The following is a 20,313-nucleotide window of genomic DNA, read 5'->3' as shown; positions in this document are numbered from 1 at the left end:
AGACCTAGTCTTGGATTATATAGGATGAATAGAAAACTCCGTATTTAGACAGCAATATTGTATTCTTCCTTCTGTCACCCAACTTCATTCCATTTATGTTATTGAAATGTGTTTCAACCTTATACTAATGGGCAAATTGAGAAAAATTCTTTGAAATGACATCTGTACTACAAGGATATTTTTGAAGAACTGTTTTCATTACAACCTATAATATCCTCCTGGTACCATTAGATATTAGAGAAATTGAACAAACAGAAATGATGAATACAAGGTTTTTTTTTTTTTTTTGGCACAAGTGTTTTGTTTACTTTTCCCTTTCTTCCCTCTATAGACATTTGAAAAGGCTTACAGTCCCAGGGTTAATTACGAGAAAGTTTAGAGCCCAACTGATGGCCCATCGCTGAAAAGGGTGCAGGTTTTCAGGATAATAATTGCCGTAACTAGCGTCATTCCCATTTTTATTATCTCATTCTAAGTCTCATTTTCCATTTGTTCTAATTTCTCTCTCTTATTTTAGATTTTGTTTTTATCTTAGGTGTTTATATGTAACAAGAGACACACAATTATGTAAATATTTTCAATGTATTGAAAAAAGAAAAATATTATCTATCCTTTGCCTTGGCCTATTCCATCTCTTCTCATCAAACGAGCAAGCTGAATAATAAAAGTCACCCCCCAAATTATTAAATTTCATCCTCTGGAGAAATAAGACCAATGGCATAACAAACAAACCATGTTTCTGTTGTGGAAAGTCTCAGAAATAGATGTTGTGAATACCTAAGCCAGAGCTGACGATAGCTAATTAATTTTTTTCCCAGCTTTTTAGTTAACATTTCAAACTGAACTCTCTTATGGGTCAGAAGTGCTCACAAAGGAATCGGCAAATGCTGCACAGCCCAGCAAGGCTGGATGTTGATATACTTTTAAGAGGGAGAGGAAAATCTTTACCCCACGAACTCACTCAGGAAGAAACACAGCCTGAGGCTATATCAACAGGGAACTAATGAGCCACAGGACATAAAGTCTAATAGAGAGCAAAGCATATTAATGAGCTCAAAGCTCTTGTTCACCCTCAACCAATTAATCTGAGAAGACCTACCTAGTGTTCCTATCTCTGATTCCTCTTCAATGCATGATTCACGCTGCTGCCAGAGGGTCACAGCATTCCACATTTCAGTTCACTGTAACCTAGTGAATGAAGTCCAGAACGTTTCATCTAGCATTCAAGGCCATCCATAATTAGATCTAAAGTTACTTTCCTACTTATCAGATATCTCATACCACTTTCAGCCATGCATTTTGCCACATTGTTATCTGAATATATCATTCAATTACAAGTTCTTTTGGATCTTTGGTACAGAATGATCCTTTAGAACAGAATATCCTTTCCATCATGCTCTGCCTGCTCAAACCCCACTCATTCCCCAAGATACAGCTCAAACGTAAAATCCACTGTGAAGACTACCTAAATGTTTTTGTCGGCATCTTCATAGATGCAATTTGTACCCTGCAAAATAACTAAATTTGTAGTGCCTAGCATTTTGATAGATAATAAAATGAAGCTGATAATTTAGTGGGGCTAATGTTAGTGTTTAGTTCAAAGGTTTGCTTGGAGAATTTAAAAAGTATCTAGTACATTTTGTCCTTAGTATTGGATACATATTAATTACTTGGTAAGCATTCATACCAACAAGTGACCATTTATTAACTCTAAATCTGAGCTCTCTAACTCCAAGAGTTATCCTTTACAGGTGAGCATACTTGTGCTGAGGTATGATGCTACTCTAGTACTGCAAACTCTGTGTTCTCAGATTGGTTTATTTACTCTCTTAGCCTCTTAGAGACTCATCCTTAACAAATGAACATATCAGAGCTCTTTTATACTGTGTTTCAGACAATTGCAAGACCTATTCAAGTCTAAAGATGCAGATACAGATGGTCATGGAACAAGGAAAAATTAAGTAGTGCAAAAGCTTGTAGTGCTGTACCAAGCCACAGGGAATGGCTAGCACAAGATGGAATTTATCAGATTTGTTGGGAGTTTTGACTTTACCATATGGGTTCAGACAAAACTGAAATGCAAAACAGAATTCTAAATCATTCAAAACTGTGAATGAAAATTGCCAAGTTTTACTGTCTCAACTATGAAATGGTGAGACCATGAGAAGCAAGAGAGTTGTCTTAGAGGGAGAAATGACTTCATTCTCTTCAACTTATACTTAATGAGCACTTACTATGTATGTGACATCTGCCAAAGATGATGGGAAAAATAAAGATAAAACACAAAGGAAAGCTTTCCTTTTTAGCCATACCAGAAATTAAACTGTGATGAAATGAACTCCACTTTTAGAAGAAGGATATATTTGTGATTTCCTTCCCTCTTCCACTCAATAATTGTGATATCCTGGACAACACAAATCTTGGTTGAACAAACAGTAGTTGTATGTCTTCTTTGAGTCAAGTGTTTTGTGTGTTTAGTGATCCCAAGATTGAATATGATAATTACACCTGAGTTTTGAGAGGAGCTAAACGGCCTGATTATTATGAACATTGTATGAAATATTTTAAAAGCATAGCCATAGACAAATATAGGGTTATATATACTTCTCTTGGTACAATAAAAATATTGAGTGATACCAGATTTCACCCATTGACACAATATGATTTGTTATCACCAATATCTTTGCCTTTTAAAAAAAATTTAGCAAATATTATTATATTATATGTACACATATGTAACATACATACATATATTTTCCAATGTATAGTTATAATGTGATTTATTTCAAATATTTTTACATTTTTTACCATAAAAACAATCATGAAAACTATACAAACTATTTTTATTATAAAAACAATGCCACTTTCTAAATGGCACAACACATAAGTGTATCTCCACATTTTCCCATTTTATTTATGTGTATATTTATAAACTCAGTAAAGTATTTACTTCACAAGTTTTAGATCTATAGAAAAGTCAGTAGAACATGAGAGTTCTCTTACATCCTATGCATGGTCTCCCCTGTTTGTTAACAACTTCAAAATGAATTGGCCACTATTGATAAATGACAATTTACTAAAGTTCATACTCACTTCAAAGCTTCTTAGTTTTTTTTTTTTGTTTTTTTTTTTTTAAGAAATGTTTACTTTGAGGGATAAATAGATCCACATGCAGTTGTACCAAATAATAGAGAGATCTTCTGTACATTTACTCAGTTTCACCCAATGGTAATATCTTGGAAATCTGTAGAATAATATCACAACCTGGATATTAACATTGATGAAATTGAGACACAGAACATTACCATCCATACGAGGATCCTTAACCCTTTGATAGCAATAATCACTTCGATCCCACTCCTACTCTCTCCTTATCACTGACAACCACAAATTTCTTTTCCATTTCTGTAATTTTGGTTATTTCAAGAATCTGATATTAAGTAACATTTGGGGATTAGCTTTTTTTTTCACTCAGAATAATTCTTGGGCTATTCATCCAAGTTACTGCCTGTATCTATAGTTTATACTATGTTACTGCTGAGTAGTGTTTCATGGCAGAGATGCACCACGGTTCATTTATGCATTGAAGAATACCTAGGTTCTTCTCAGTTTGGGTTATGAAAAAGCTACTGTAAATTTATAAGTAGACTTTATGTAAACATAAGTTCTCACCTCTCTAGAATAAATACACAAGAGTTCGATTGCTACGTTTATAGTTAATTTTATGCTTAGTTTTAAGAAACTGCCAAAATTTTTCAGAATGGCTATGCTTATTAACTGAGTGACAAAACAATCTACATATTGACCCCCTGTGACATGCAGTTTACCTATATAACAAACATGCACATGTACTCCTAAACCTAAAATAAAATTTATAATGAAAAAAGAAATTGCCAAACTTTTTCAGAATGGCTATGCCATTTTATACTCTCACAAGCAGTGTATTAATAATCTAATTTCTCTTCATCCTGCAGAGCATTTGGTGTTATCAGTGTTTTTTATCTTAGTCATTCTGATTAGTATATACAGATATCTCATTATACTGTTAACATACATTTCCTTAATGACTCATCGTTTGAACATTTTTATGTGCTTATTTGCTATCTGTACATACTCTCAGGTGAACTGTCTCTTCAAGTTTTTTGCCTATTTTCTAATTAGATTATTTTTGTACTGTTGAGTTTTGAGAGCTCTCTGTATTTTCTAGATTCTGCTCTGTTGTTGGATATGTGGTTTACAATATATTCTTCCATTTTGCACTTTCCTTTTTTAACTGTTTAACAGGGTCTTTTGCAGAGCAAAGGTCTGAAGTTTTATGGAATCGAATTTACCCATTTTTCCTTTCATGTATTGTGCTTTTGGTGTGCAGACTGAGAACGGGCTTAGCTGTGTATCTCAAAGATTTTCTCTTAATTTTTTTCTAAAAGATTCAGTTTTACTTATAAGTTTGTAAAGGTGTGAGATTAGGTTGAGGTTCATTTACCACCCCCTTGTAGTCCAGTTGCTCCCACATCAATTTTGATGAGACTAACTTTACCCCATTAAACTGCTTTTGCACTATTGCAAAATATTAGTTGAGTATATTTGCATAGGTCTGTTTCTGAGTTCTCTGTTTCATTCCATGGGTCTATACGTCTGTTCCTTCACAAATACCACACAATCTTGATTACTGGAACTGTATAAGTTATGAAGTTGAATTGACTGATCCCTCCTACTTTTTTTTTCAAAATTGTATTAATTATTTTAATTCCTGTGTCTTTCCATGCCAATTTTAGAATAATCTTGCCTATGTTTACAAAAAACCCTGCAGGATTTTAAAAGCAATTACTTTAAATTTGTAAATCAGCTTGGTAAGAATTGACATCTTTACTGTTGAGCCTTCCAATCCACGCATATGTGTGGTATGTCTTTTCATTTATTTAGATTTGCCATTCATTTATTTTTGTTCCAAATTAAGTTAATTATTTTTAAATGGGTATATAAAATTGTATGTATTTTTCATGTACAACATAATGTTTTCAAACTTTTATACATTGTGGAATGGTTAAATTAACAAATACATTTATTAACTCACATAGTATTTTTGTGATGAGGATTTAATATCCACTCATCATTTTTTGTAGCTAATAAATGCAAGCTAACAAGTGCAGTTTTGTTATATAGACCATATCTATAGTGTACACATTAATTAGCTCCTCCTTATAAGTGAGAACTTGCAGTATTTGACTTTCTGTTGCTGAGTTATTTCACTTAAGATTAATGGCCGCAGTTCCATCCATGTTGTTGCCAAAGACATGATTTTATTTTTTATGCCTGAGTACTATTCCATGATATATATAAACACCACATTTTGTATCTAGTCATCCATTTATAGACACGTAGGTTGATTCCATATTTGCTACTGTGAATAGTGCTGTGATAAACATACCAGGACAAGTATCTTTTTGATAAATGATTTTTTCCCTTGGGTAGATACCCAGTAGTTCAATTGATAGATAAAATGGCCGTTCTATTTTTAGCTCTTTGAGAAATCTCTATACTGTTTTCCATAGAAGTTGTACAATTCACATTCCCTTCAACAGTGTATAAACATTCTCTTTTCTCCACCCACACCAGTGTGGGTTACTTTTTGACTTTTTAATAGTAACCATCTTGACTACTGTAATATGGTATATCACTGTGGTTTTAATGTGTATTTCTCTGATATTAGTGATGTTGAACGTTTTTTCATGTATTTGTTGGACATTTGTCTATCTAATTTTGAAAATTTTCTGTTCATTTCCTTTGCCCACTTTTTAATTAGGTTATTTGTTTGTTTTTTCTGGTTGAGTTGTTTCAGTTTCTTGTAGATTCACTGGATATACAATTTGCAAGTATTTTCTCCCATTTGACAGAATCTTTTCACTCTGTTTATTATTTCTTTTGCTGTGCAGAAGTTTTTTAGTTTAAGTCCCATTTGCCTACTTTTGTTTTTGTTGCATTTACTTTTGAGGTCTTATTCATGAATTATTTGCCTAAGCCATTTGCTGAGAGGTTTGTCCAAGGTTTTCTTGTAGAATTTTTAGAGTTTTAGATCTTACATTTGTCTTTAATCCATCTTGATTTAATTTTTGTATGGTGAAAGATGGTGATCAAGTTTTATTCTGAATATGGCTGTTCAATTTTACCACCAGTATTGATTGTATAGAGTATCCTTTCCCTAGTATATGTTTCTGTCATATTTGTTGAGGATCAGTTTGGTTGTATGTATGTAGCTTTATTTCTGAAATCTCTATTCTATTCCTTTGATTTATATGTCTATACTTATACCAGTACCGCACTGCTTTGGTGACTATATCCTTGCAGTATAATTTGAAGTAAGTTAATATGATGCCCCCCGCTTTGTTATTTATGTTTAGGACTGTTTAGGCTATTCAGGCTCTTTTTTGGTTACATATGAATTTTACAATAGTTTTTTCCTAATTCTGTGAAAAATAATTTGGATATTTTGATAGATCTGTAGATTGCTTTGGGCAGTATGGTCATTTTTTAATGATATTGATTCTTCCAATTCATGAGCATGGGATTTTTTTCATTTATTTGTGTCCTTGACAATTTCTTTCATCAGTGTTTTGTATTGGATACTGATGTACCTTTCACCTACTTGGTTAAATGTATTCCTAGGTATTTCATTTTTCTACTGTTGTTGTAAATGAGAATTAGTTCTTGATTTGGTTCTCAGCTTGATCCTTATTGGTGTATAGAAATGATACTGATTTTTATACATTGACTTTGTATCCTGAAACTGTATTGAATTCATTCTTTAAATCTAGAAGAGTTTTGGAGGAGTTGTTAGTGTTTTTAGTGTTTTCCAGACATAAGATCATATCATCAGCAAACAGAAAATTGTATTTCCTCTTTCTAATTCGAATGTGTTTTTTTTTTAATTTCTTTCTGTTGCCTGATTACTGTGCCCAGAATTTTCAGTGCTATGTTGAATAGTCGTGGTGAAAGTAGGAATCCTTGTCTTGTTCTGGTTTTTAGGGGAATGCTTTCAATATTTCCACATTCAGAATAGTATTGCTTGTGGGTTCATCACATATATGGCTTTTATTATTTTGAGGTATGCTTCTTCTATGCCTAGTTTCTGGTAGTTTCTATCATGAAGTTATACTGAGTTTTATCTAAGGCTTTGTCTACATCTATTGAGATAATTATATGGTTTTTGTTTTTAATTTTGTTTATAAGGTAAGTATCATTTATTAATTTGTGTATGTTGAACCATCCTTGCATCTCTGGGATAAAACCAACTTGGTTGTGGTGCATTATCTTTTTGATATGTTGTTAGATTCGGTTTGCCAGTATTTCACTGAGGATTTTTGCATCTATATTCATCAGAAATATTGGTCTGTAGTTTTCTTTTTTTGTTGTGTCTTTACCTGCCTTGGTATCAGGGTGATATTGGCTTCAAAGAATGAGTTAGAAAGGTTCCCCACTCCTCAATTTTTTGAAACAGTGTCAGGAAGATTAGTACCAGTTCTTTGTATATCTAGTAAATTCTTCTGGTCTTGGGTTTTTTTTTTGGCGGGGGCGGGGTGGGGAGTTTGAAAATTACTCATTCAGTCTCACTACTCATTATTGGTCCGCTCCAGATACCTGTATCCTCCTGAATCAATATTGGGAGGTTGTATGTTTCCAGGAATTTTTCCATTTCCTCTATGTTTTCCAGTTTATGAGAAAGCATTGATTTTTAAAATTTTATTGAGATTTGTTCTGTGGCCTAATATATAATTTATCTTGCAAAAGGTTCTATGCACTGATGAGAAGAACGTATATTCTGTAGTTGCTGGGTAGAATTTTCTATACATGTCTGTTAGTTTCATTTGGTCTACAGTCCGATTTAAGTTCAGTGTTTCTTTATTGACTTTTCTTTTGTCTTGATGATGTGTCTACTGTTGTGAGTGTAGGATTAAATTTCCCCACTATTATTGTATTTCTGTCCATCTTTTTTCATAGGTCCAGTAGTATTTGTTTTACAAATATAGGTGCTTTGGTGTTAGGTGTGTATATATTTAGAAATGTTATATTTTATTGTTGAATTAATTTTTTATCATTATATAATGATCTCTTTAATCTTTTTTTTTTTTTTTTTTTTACTGTTGTTGATTTAAGATCTGTTTTATCTAAGTATGGTTACTTCTGCTTTTTTTTTCTTTTTGGTTTCCAGTTGCATGGAGTATCTTTTTTCATCTCTTCACTTTCAGTCTATGTATGTTTTTATAGGTGAAGGGGGTTTCTTGTAAGCAGCATAGAGTTGTTTCTTTATCCATTCATACATTCTTTTAGTTGGAAAATTGAATTCAGCTACATTCAGTGTTATTGTTGCTAATAAGGAGTTACTACTGCCATATTGTTACTTGTTTTCTGGTTTTGTAAATTCTTTATTTCTTCCCTTCTTATTGTCTTCCTTTGTGGTTAAGTGACATTTAAAATCATTGCATTTTAATTTTAGTAAATCTATTGTAAATGTTACATTGTGCTTATCATGAGGCTTACAAAAACATCTTATAGACACACTAGCTATTTTAAAGAAATGATGACCTATCTTAGATCACACAGAAATAAATTTTAAAGAACTAAAGAAAGCCCTACATTTTAACTCTATTCCTCTCAACATTTTGAATTTTTAAAAATCTCAGTGTACATAGTTTTATATTTTATATTGCTTATTCCTCTTCACAGGCTGCTCTAGCTATTGTTATTTGTTATTTTTAATAAATTTGTCTTGGGCTTTTTACTATAGTTATGGGTTGATTGCACACCACAATTACAGTATTAGACTACAGTATATTTGTCTGATACTTAATTTTAACAGTGGGTTTTATAGTTTCAAATGTTTTCTTTGTGCACATTAATGTTTTTTTTTTTTTTTCAGATTGAAGAACTCTCTTTAGCATTTCTCATAAGATGAGTTTGATGGTGGTGAATTCTCTCAGCTTTTGTTTGCCTGAGAAAGACTTTATGTCTTCTTCATATTTAAAGGATAACTTTGTGGGATACAGGGTTACTAGATGGGAGTTTTTTCCCCAAGACTTTGAAAATGCTGACATACTTATTCCTTGCCTATATGGTTTCCATTGAGAAGTCTGTTGCCAGACAAATTGAAGCTCTTGTATATGTTATTTGTTTCTTTTATCTTGTTGCTTTTATAATCCTTTCTTTGTCTTTGACCTTTGAGAGTTTGATTATTATAACCCTTTGGGTAGTCTTAACTGGATCAAATCTATTTTGTGTTCTCTAACCTTCTTTTATCTGGATATTCCTATCTTTCTCAAGTTTTGAAAAGTTTTCTGCTGTTATTCTTTGAATAGGCTTCCTACCCCTTGCTCATTCTCAACTTCCTGCTAAAAACCAATATTTAATTTAATCTTTTGAGGTGATTTTCTATATCTTCCAGGGAATCTTCATTACTTCTCAGTCTTTTTATCTTTTTTCTCCTCTGTGTATTTTTAAATTGCCTATCTTTAGGTTCACTTATTCTTTCCTCTGCTTTATCCATTCTATTTAGAGAGCCAGATAAATTTTTCAGTTCATCAAATATATTTCTCACTTCTAAGATTTCTATTTACTTTCATTATTATTTCAATCTTTTTGTTAATTTTTTCTGACACATTTCAGAATTGCTTTTCTGTGTTATCTTGGTGATCACTGAGTTTCCTTAAAGCTGCTATTTTGAATTCCTGGTCAGAGAGCTCACATGTCTCCATCTCTTTACTGTCAGTCAGTGTTTCTTGGTTTCGTCCATTTGGAGAGGTCATGGTTCCCTGTTTGCTGTTGTTTCTTGTGGATATGCATCTATGTTTTTGTATTGAGGTATTATTTATTCCAGTGTTTTCTGTTTGGCATGTTTTACTTTTTGTTGCATATGTTTGCTTAGAGATTCTTAATATACCAGTTAGATTTATCCCCTCCTTTGTGGTGCTAGATGGTGCCTTAAGCCCAGGTTTGCTTCAACTCTAGTAAACTATCAGAGCACTTCCCATGCCAAATGAAAGGAGGTCCCAAAGGGGATATCCAGGCAGAGTGGTAAGGCTTGCTAAAGGTTTCTACCCAGAGGACCTGTGGAACCTGCCATGTACAGTGTGATGCTGCTGAACAGCAACTCTAATTTTGGCATTGCCTTCCCCCAAGTTATAGAGTAGTTTCCACCATTGAGGATGGTAGTCTCACTTTCCCCTTTGTCTCTGGCTGTCCTTAGGGTACTTCTTTCAGTGCTCATTATGTTTTCCTTAGATTGAGGCAGGGACAAGCCTCTGGCCTGGTGAATTCAAGATGGTAGGAAAATTGGTTGCCCACTTCAATCTCAAAGGCCACACAGATATGGATGTCTAGTTCTCTCACCTTCTGCTCAGAGTTTTCCATTTTTCTGTGTTCTTGAGAATTAACTATTTAAGTTCCAGGATATTGCTGGTAATAATCGTAGTGCTGTATATATGTCTTGTTTTGTTATGGTTTTGTAGGGTTGAGGGGAAAGTGAAACCAGCTTGCTTTATGCTGCTATTTTGGAATCAGAAAACTTGACCATTTATTTTTAATGTAATTATTGACATGACAAAGCATAAGTTTGCCATTTTCTTTTGATTGTGACTATTCTCACTGTGTAGTTTTTTTTCTTCTCTGCCTACTCATGGGTTACTTTAACAATTTTTAGAAATTTATTTGTTATATTTAAAGTGATTTTGAGTGTGTCTCTTTATAGCTTTTAAACTGTTGTAGGTATTATTTTACTAGTTCATAAGTCATCACAATATGCCACAATGTCAGTTGTTGATGTCATAAATTTACAGACTCAAGTACTGCATGAAACTTGCTTCCCATTTTATCATTTTATCATTATCTTTAATAATGTAATTGTCTTGAATATTTTTATATAAGCATTTAGAACCACATCAGACAGTGCTATAATTTTTGTTTCAAATGTCAAACATAATTTAGGAAACTCAACAGGGGAAGAAAATGCCTTATGATTACCACATTTTTACTTTTTCCATTATTCTTTCTTTTTTATTCTAATGTTTCTAAAAATTGTTTAATTTCCTTTAGATAACTTCCTTTAGCAATTTTCTAAGGGTAGGCCTACTGGTAACAAATATTTTTGGTTTTCTTTCATCTGACAGATAATATCTTTATTTTCCTTCCATTCCTGAAGAATATTTTGCCACGTAATACAATTCTGGAATGACAGTTCTATTTGTTCAGTACTTGAAAAATGTCATTATTTCTTATTTGGCCCATAGTTTCTTATAAGAAATTCACTTCCATTTTAATTGATTTTATCCAATAAATAAGGTATCATTTCTCTCTCAACACTTTTAAGTCTTTTTCTTTTGTCTTTATTTTTTTTAAATTTGATTAGACTGTGTTTGGGGGTAGATTTATTTAGACTTATTCTGTTTGGATTTTTATCCTATTCTTGACTGGTATAGTTTTGCATATTTTGCCAGATTTGGAAAGTTTTAGCTATTGTTTCTTTGAGCACTTTTTTAGTACCTCCCAATTTCTTCTGTTTTTCTGCAATTGCGATTACATGGATGCTAGATGTTTTGTTTTAGTCCCACAGATCCCTGAGGCTCTGTTTATTTCTGTATTCTTTTAACTCTCTTTTGTCTCATTTGTTCATATTGGGTCATTTCTATTGTTCTATTGTCAAGTTCACCCATTTTTACCTTGGTCTCCTCCATTCTGTGTTTCAGTCTATTCACTGAGTATTTTATTTTAGTTACTAATTTTTTTAGTCATAAATTTCCATTTTTTCTTTCTATTTTCTATTTTTTTATTATTTATTATTTTTTATTTTTTTAGACGTAGTCTCACTCTGTCACCAGGCTGGAGTGGAGTGGCACAATCTCAGCTCACTGCAACCTCCGCCTCCCGGGTTCAAGCGATTCTCCTGCCTCAGCCTCCCAAATAGCTAGGATTGCAGGTGCACACCACCACACCCAGCTAATTTTTGTAGTTTTGGTAGAGATGGGGTTTCACCATATTGGCCAGGATGGTCTTGATCTCTAGACCTTGTGATCTGCCCACTTCGGCCTCCCAAAGTGCTGGGATTACAGGCATGAGCCACTGCACCCGGCCTCTATTTTCGATTTCTTTAAATTAAGAATTTCTATTTCTTGCTGTGACTTTTGATTTCTTACTTGTTTCAAACATGTTCACTATTACTTGTTGAAATGTTTTTATTATAGCTGCTTTAAAATAATTATCAGATAATTCTTATATCTCTATCACCTCAGTATTGTGATCTATTGGTTGTCTTTTTTTTATTCAATTTGAGAAGTTTCAGACTTTTAGAAATACAAGTAATTTTTTTTTTAATTGTAACCCAGACATCTTCAGTGAGTATTATGTTATAAGACTCTGGATCTTAATTAAGTTTTTGTTTCAGCTAGCTTCCTCTGAACTGTTCTGGGATGAGAAGGAAGTGACAGTGCTTCTCACTGTCAGGTGCATGCGGACATCCAAGTTCCCCACTTGTCCTCCATTTATACCTGAAGGGGGATCTCCTTATTACTTCTAGAGAGGAGTGGGAATTCTGCATCCTTGCTAGGTCCCCACTGATAATTTCTTGGTTGGGTAACGTAGGTGTGCCTTGTTAACTTCTCCTTTATTTATATATACCAAGGTTGTAGAAGTAGTCTTCCTATTGCTGAACCATGGTGACATTCCTAATTATCCCTTAGGTTTCTTATGACACCAACTCAATATGGGGAGAGGGGAATGAACAACCCATTACTGCAAAGCAGGGATAAAAGTTCAGGCTCCCCATCTGGTCTCACTGTAAAGGAGAGGAGGAGGGTTTAATTATTGTCAGTAGGAATAAAAGTTACAGCTTCTGACTTGGCCTACTCTAGCAGTACTCCATCACTGGAGTCAAAGTACCTTATTACAACCAGGTAAAAGTTGAAGTCTAGGCTCTCCATTTGGCCTTTAATAGTGGGGCAAGCATGAGGTTATAGCTTTTTCTAGAGCATGTGGCTAAAAGAGAATAATTATTGTCTAAAAGTTTTTTGTCTTGCTAAGCTACCCATTCCCTTGTTTTTGAGCTATGAAAAGCAGACTCTTGTTGTTGTTTGTTTTTGTCTGTGCCTGTTGGCATTTCTGGATTGCTGGTTTCTTCAACTCCAAGTCTGAGGCATATGAGACAGGAAGAAAGCCTAGACAATTCACCGCTCTACCATTTTTTGGGTCCTGAGTTTCCTAGTCAGTATGCTTTCATTTAGACAATTTTCAGAGTCTTGTGTTTGTTTTCTGTATAATATCCAGGATTTTAATTTGTACTTAGCAAGACAAGTAGGGACAAACACATCTACACCATTTTTCTGGAAGTGGAAATGCTCTAATTTTATTTTTAATGTTGCTGCTCTGAATTGCATTTCCAATTATTCCAATTATACTAGGCTGTAGAAAAATTCAGAATAACAATTTATTTTTGTACCAGACAGTCCTGGATTTTGAGTACAATAATAGATTTTTTGTTTCCCTCTCTGTAGAATAAGATTAAAAACATCTACCTGGCTGGATTCTATTGGACATCAAATAAAAATATAAATAAAGCATTTGGCAGAGTGCCTCACACATAGCCACTCAAAAATAATCCAAACTTGAACTTTTTAAAATTAAAAGCCATGTGATTTTAAACTCCATATTTAAAAAAATGCAAGAAAAAGCTACCATTTAAACCACAAAACTGTTCTTGGTTTAGAATAGAAATTCATGGAATTTATATTGGTACCTCTAGCTAGAACTTGAGACAAGGATTATCAGCAGAATGTTAGAGATAAATATCAACTATAATTATACATTTTGGAGTCCACTGAAATTTCTAGTCTGAGGATCAGAGTGAATGAAGCAAAACAGCTCATATGTTTAGTCTTGTGATAAATGACTTCATCCTGAAAGGATCCCACTACTTTATTCAAAGTATATTATTCCTTTGGATACTTTCCACTGGATATGTTACTTGTTTCCCAGAACCAGTAAAATTCCTTCCTGCTTTCTCTTTCAGAGAAGAAAACTGAGATGCAAAACAACTAGCCTATGGGTCATTCAAGCAAGAGGGCAGAGCAGCTTTAATTACGTCTTCTTAAACTACATTTAAGGAGAGGGCAGAAGGGGCTGGGACTGTTCAATCTACACCTTGCCCATTCTACAGCTAGTCATCAGACCAGCAGCAATGGCATTATGTGAGACCTTGTTAAAAATTCGGGTACTCAATTCCGACCCAAGACTTACTGAATGGGAATCTGCATTATTTTGATAATTTTTCATGTTATCTGTCTGCATATTATCACCTAGGAAGAACAGTTTTAGGAATCCCTAACCGCCTTATGTGATTTTCATGATTTAGCCTACCTAAAAAATATAAACTAACCCACAAAATGTAGTTCAATTGCTATTTTTTTCACGTAAGAATTTGGAAATTCACAAACATCAGACATCAAATTTTACTCTATAGAACAATAGGAGAAGGGGTGGTTCAGATACTACACTACACAGATAAGTATTTCATGGACTTACTCCAATATTAGCTATGATATTTATCTTACTTATAATTATGGGTATAGCTAATTATAACATTGTTTATCCAAGTTGACTAATTGGTAATGGAAGAATTTCATGACTAGCCAGCTATTCTACTTTGCAGGTATTCTCTAAGCATGCACTGTCTCTTTTTCACAAACCAGCCAAGGGTCTTTTCTTTTAAGAACAGGGTAAAGAGGATACTGATAAAGTTACAAAAATGGGGAGGAAAGACTGGTTTAAAGATTAAAAGTTTGGACTATTTTGATGCAGGGCAGACAGGCCCCAGAACTGGGGCTTACCCTGGGACGATTCTTGGCTTCTCCCCAGAAGGAATTCAAGCATGAGCCAGTGGTGTTAGACAGCAACTTTTACTGAAGCGGCAGTGTACAGCAGCAACAAAAGTACTGATCTTGGAGGAGCAGGGCTACGCCCATAGACAATGTGCCCAGAGTGGCAGCTCAAAGACAGTTCTGCAGTCATATTTATACCCACTTTTGATTATATCAAATTTAAAGAGCAGATTTTGTAGAAATTTCTAGAAAAAGGATTGTAACTTCTGGGTTGCCAGGTCATTGCCATGGAAAGGGGCAGTAACTTCTAGATTGCCATGGCAATGGTAAACTGACATGGCACACTGGTGGGTGTGTTTTATGGAAAGGTGTTTCCACTTTGTTTCTGTTTTAGCTAGTCCTCAATTTGGACTCAAATAGAATTGAGCTTGGTAGGTTAAACTGGGGTATTAGAATTCAAAGAATCATAGACATAGAAATTGTCAAGCTTGAAGGAAGTTTAGCATATATTTGCTTTAAGACCCTCAGATGAACAAAGTAACCTGGAGTGATCAAGTGCCTTGCCTAAAGATACAAAATCCATAAATAGCAAATTTGCCTCAACTTTCTAGACCACCAGTCCTGTTATTATGAAAACTATCCATTTCTCTTAACTGCTCATTTAATCTGAGTATAAGTGAGAAAATATGATATAACAAATGGATAGCTGCAGCAATTCGACACAAAATAGTGCTCAGCATTTTTTTTCTTTCTTCATTGCCTGATTTTTACCCAGTTTGTCATTGTCTTTGTCAATTTTTCATTTTATGTTTTGATTTCCTTTGTTTTTCCATCCGGCTCTCTTCCTGGATATCCATTTCATTTCTTTAAAAACTTCTTTAAAATTTTGTGTACTAGTTTTGGATGAAATAACTATCTCAGTCAAAAAGACAAGCCATAGCAATTACTTTCAATTTTCAAAAGTGTTAACAAATTTAGTTGATCCTACCGCATTAAATTTTGGCTAAAGGTCAGGTACTGTGCAATGTGTGTTACATGTATTATCTCATTTGATCCCCCAGCTCCATGCTGACAGGTAAGGAAACTGAAGTTCAGACAAGTAAAAATTACATGACGTTGGGCTAGTTACTTAAGTAGGGGATCGGAAATGAAACCAGATCTTAATACACCAGTAAGTATATTCTATGGTGACACAAATAATACTTTATAATTTCCCATAGAAAAAGTATGCTTTAGCAAGCTTCCTCTTTTGTAGGCCTTTGCAGGTTAGTTATTAATTCATAAATGGATAAGGAAAACAATGATGGTAAATTGGGTTATCTCCACTCTCTGACCATTTTCATCTTATTAAAATTTTAAACATATTAATTACTAATTAGAGAAATCTAGATGATAATCACAGTGATTAAATTTACCCAATATCATTTATTGGAGGAGAGATTTGTCAGTTGGAAATTATAATTAACGCATCAGAAATGTTCTGTGGTTGTTAAAAAAAAAAAGTACTCAGGAGTTATGCTAAAAAAAGCAGTTGATGTTCTATGGTTACTAAATATACTGACACAAGGCAAAACAGCCTCCCTGTAGGTATCCTGCTTGCAGCTCTAAAGCAGGAATTCTTAGTAAAAAGATAATACTAGAAAGATCTTTGGATATTTTAACATCTTAATGTACGTTGGAAGGTCTGTTGGTGTTGGGTTTTCTAATGCCTAATTAGAATTACAAATTAATTTTCAAAAAATTTTAGTGCATGTTTTTGTGTATTTACAGAAGAGATTTACTACTTCTATAGCAAGGTTTTTGTTTTTCTTTTATCATCTCATCTCCCTGTTTCTATAACATGCAAATACCACAGACAGTCACAGAATAATGAATTTTATTACAAATGTTATAGAGCAAAGAAATGTTAGATTTTTAAATTTCAATGTTCATTGAGAACATACGTGTCAAAAATTTAGATGTGCATATTAGCAAGAGTACTGCATCTATTAGGAAATTTATATATATATATATATATACATATATATACATATATACATATATACATATATATATACATATATATATATACATATATACATATATACATATATATATATATACATAATTATAAGATCCATGATCTTATAAAGGCTAACGGAAACTGATTTTATATATATATATACACGTGTATATATATGTATATATATATACACGTGTATATATATATGTATATATATACACGTGTATATATATATGTATATATATACACGTGTATATATATGTATATATATACACGTGTATATATATACATATATATACATATATATGTGTATATATATATATATAAAATCAGTTTCCGTTAGCCTTTATAAGATCATGGAAGGAAGTTTAAACTTTCCCTCTGAAGGTTCAATAATTGAGTCATCCTGGTAAAGTAATTTGACAATAAATAGATTAACAGAAAAAAGAGGCATACAAATTTATTAACATACATAAGCACAGCAAAAACACAAAATGTGAGACTTGAGGAAGACCCACATGACTAAAGTTTTTCTTTCGCAGAGAAAGAAATACATGCTTGGAGCATGGTGAAAGGTCATGGGAGTGAGAGGGGAGGAAAGGCATGGTGAGCAAAGGCTCACAGGTAGTGGACCTCTGAAAGAATAGATGGTAGCCTACGAAAGTGTCTCTGTCAGACCTTTAAAAGCGTTAGACTTTTATTCTCCTTGCTCTGTGAGTTGATCTTTCCTAGATCTGAATAAGGTAGATACAAGGGCCCCAGAGTAAACCTCTTTGCATTCATTTTTTACTTCATTAATACAGATTTCCTCTACAGATGCAAATCTCCCCTATAAAGGACAGCTTGTCAGAGCTATTCCAGTATCTGCAGCCCTCTGAATAGCCATCTCAAAATATGCTAAAGAAGTATATTTTCAGGTAGTATATTTTGGTTTCCTTGAGTCACCTATATAGTACTAAGCAAATTGCATGAGCTTATAATAGATCTAAATCTAGATGTGTAAAAATCTCAAATATTTTATTGGCTTGACTTTCTTGATTCCTGCAAAATATTTTTACCAGAATAATAATTTTTAATTAAGGAAAACCAAAATCATCTTTAAAAATAAAAATTTAATCATATAAAAACGAATAAGAAATATGTGTGTTTTTAATGTCTAGGTACAAGGGATATAATAGATTATTTTGCACTGTTCCCTGATGTTTCTATCCCAAGTTAAAATAGTAACAGTCCATACCTTTTTGACACTATAGGACTCCTCTCCAAAAACACTGCAGTTCCCCAGCAGTGATACTTAAAGGTACTCTCTAAATAGTGGCTTTTCATTATAAATTTTGCATGTAAACACTTTGCATGTTCTGATTTAATGAGGCCATTCAATGCTTTCTTAATACCACTGAAATTTTCTCCCTCAGGACTCATTTCATTGCTCAGAAGTTATCTTTGATTCATTTGCATTTACTAATTCAGGAAACCATGTGGACATTTTCCAAGCCCTTCCTAAATTCCTAATAGTAAGCCCTCAGGATACAGCAATAAACAAGACAAATGTGGTCCTTGTCTTCACTGAGCTTGTAATCCACTGACTAAAACAGATTTTTGAGAAAGTAATTAAAAGAACAGTGAAGTTAACAAAAAAGTTAAAGGCATAATGCAAATATTTTAATTTTATATAATACAAAATTATGTTAAAATTTCACATTTTTTAATTAATAATTGAATCAGAAATATATTGAAATTGATTCAAATGATAATTTAATTTAGAGAGATTTATGCCATCTTCCTGATAAAATTTATTCCATTACTATGAATAGTAATAATTTGCATTGTTCTAAAGAGAAAGTGTTTACATTACTATGAGTTTTCTTCAAGTTAACTTCTATCTCTAAATAGTTGTAATATAGCCTAGTCAGTCAGAGAATTAAAAACATGCCTGTAGAATCGGATAATCCCATAAATCATCAGATAATATCCAGCATTCTTCCAAATGAACACCCAGTAATCACCTTTGCCCACTTCCAAATCTTTGACAATTTGTCCTGGTAGTTTAAAAGGGGTAAGCTGGAGATAAGATTGATAATATTGGGACTAAGAGATAACACGGCCTCACAAACCTTAAATGAAAGACACTCTATGAGCATTGAATGAGTAATAGAATCTCGAAAGGAGAGGGACAAGGCTCATTACAAAATTAGAAATTCTATCATTTTTAGAATATGTCTCACTGTCTTTTATTTCTAAGAAAGGTATTGACAAAACCTTTGGCTTCCTGTGATTCAGTATACCAACCCATAACTTTATGCCAATAATCCTTAAAAATTAATATGGAGCTACTCACTTTTCAAAAGCAAACTGTGTGATTGAGGATTATATGTGTCAATGTGCCTGGGCCATGGAGTGCCAAGATATTTGGGCAAACATTATTCTGGAGGTTTCAGGATGACTTTGACATTTAAATTGACAGGCTGAGTAAAGCCAGTCACCCTTCCTAATGTGGATGGGAATCATTCAATCAGTTGAAGGCCTAGGTAGAACATAAGGCTGAGCTTTTCCTAAATAAGAAATCATTTCCTCCTCCTGTATGACTGCCTTGAGCTGAAACATATGTGTTTTCCTGTGTTTGAACTTGAACTGAAACATTGGCTCTTTCTGGGTCTTGAGCCTGCTAGTCTTCAAACTAAAACCACACCATCAGCTCCCCTGGTTCTCAAGCCATCAGATTAGAACTGGAACAACACCAGTGGTTCTCCTGTGTCTCCAACTTGCTGACTGCAGATATTGGGACTTGTCAGTTTCTGTAATCACATGAGCAAATTTCCTGTAATAAATCTGTTTTTATTTGGTTACTGTTTCTCTGGAGAACTCTGATAAATACCCTGTGTGTTTATAAGTTCAAGATTTAAATATCCGTTCATCAACATTTATGATTTTATTACACTTTTTGATTCCATTTAGTAGCCTCTTATCAAAGATTGAAACTCCAATTCCACCTCCAGGAGGTGACATTCATATTTTTTTTCTGTGAATATGTGTGTATTTTTAAAATGTGCACTTATGCTTGTTTATCTTATATGAAAAAAAGTGTGCAACGTCATACATTTAAAATTGCTTGAAAATATGGAGAACATGGAGCCATTAAAGTAATTTGTGTACTATAGTCTATTCAATCACCCTTCAATTGGATTTTTGTTTTTTTAAAGTTGTAAACTATTAAAATAATACTGTAATAAGTATCCTCATATATACATGTTTGTTCAGAAATCTAATAATATCATCTGTCAATCTATTTCATAGATAACTAAAATTAAAATAATGTAGATTTTTAAGTGATGTGAAGTGTCATCTTGTCAGGGATGCAATTTTGATTGCTCTTTCCTTCCTTCCCTTTTACCCTCACTTTTCCCAACACTAATCAAATTAGATTTTTATTTTTTAAAAATCTCTTTTTTATTAAAA

The 20,313-nt window shown here is 33.2% G+C and overlaps 1 long non-coding RNA gene across 1 annotated transcript in view; it reads right to left on the bottom strand.

Annotated features, from left to right (window-relative positions):
- Positions 1-20,313, bottom strand: part of LINC02141 (long intergenic non-protein coding RNA 2141) — a 198,621-nt gene that overhangs the window by 8,075 nt on the left and 170,233 nt on the right. The window contains exon 2 of the long non-coding RNA NR_110917.1: positions 1,100-1,188. This is a non-coding gene — a long non-coding RNA (long intergenic non-protein coding RNA 2141). The remainder of the gene's footprint in view (positions 1-1,099; positions 1,189-20,313) is intronic.

Source organism: Homo sapiens, chromosome 16 (genome assembly GCF_000001405.40).
Source record: "Homo sapiens chromosome 16, GRCh38.p14 Primary Assembly".
Classification (NCBI taxonomy): Eukaryota; Metazoa; Chordata; class Mammalia; order Primates; family Hominidae; genus Homo; species Homo sapiens.
This window is presented reverse-complemented; position numbering and strand designations above follow the sequence as displayed.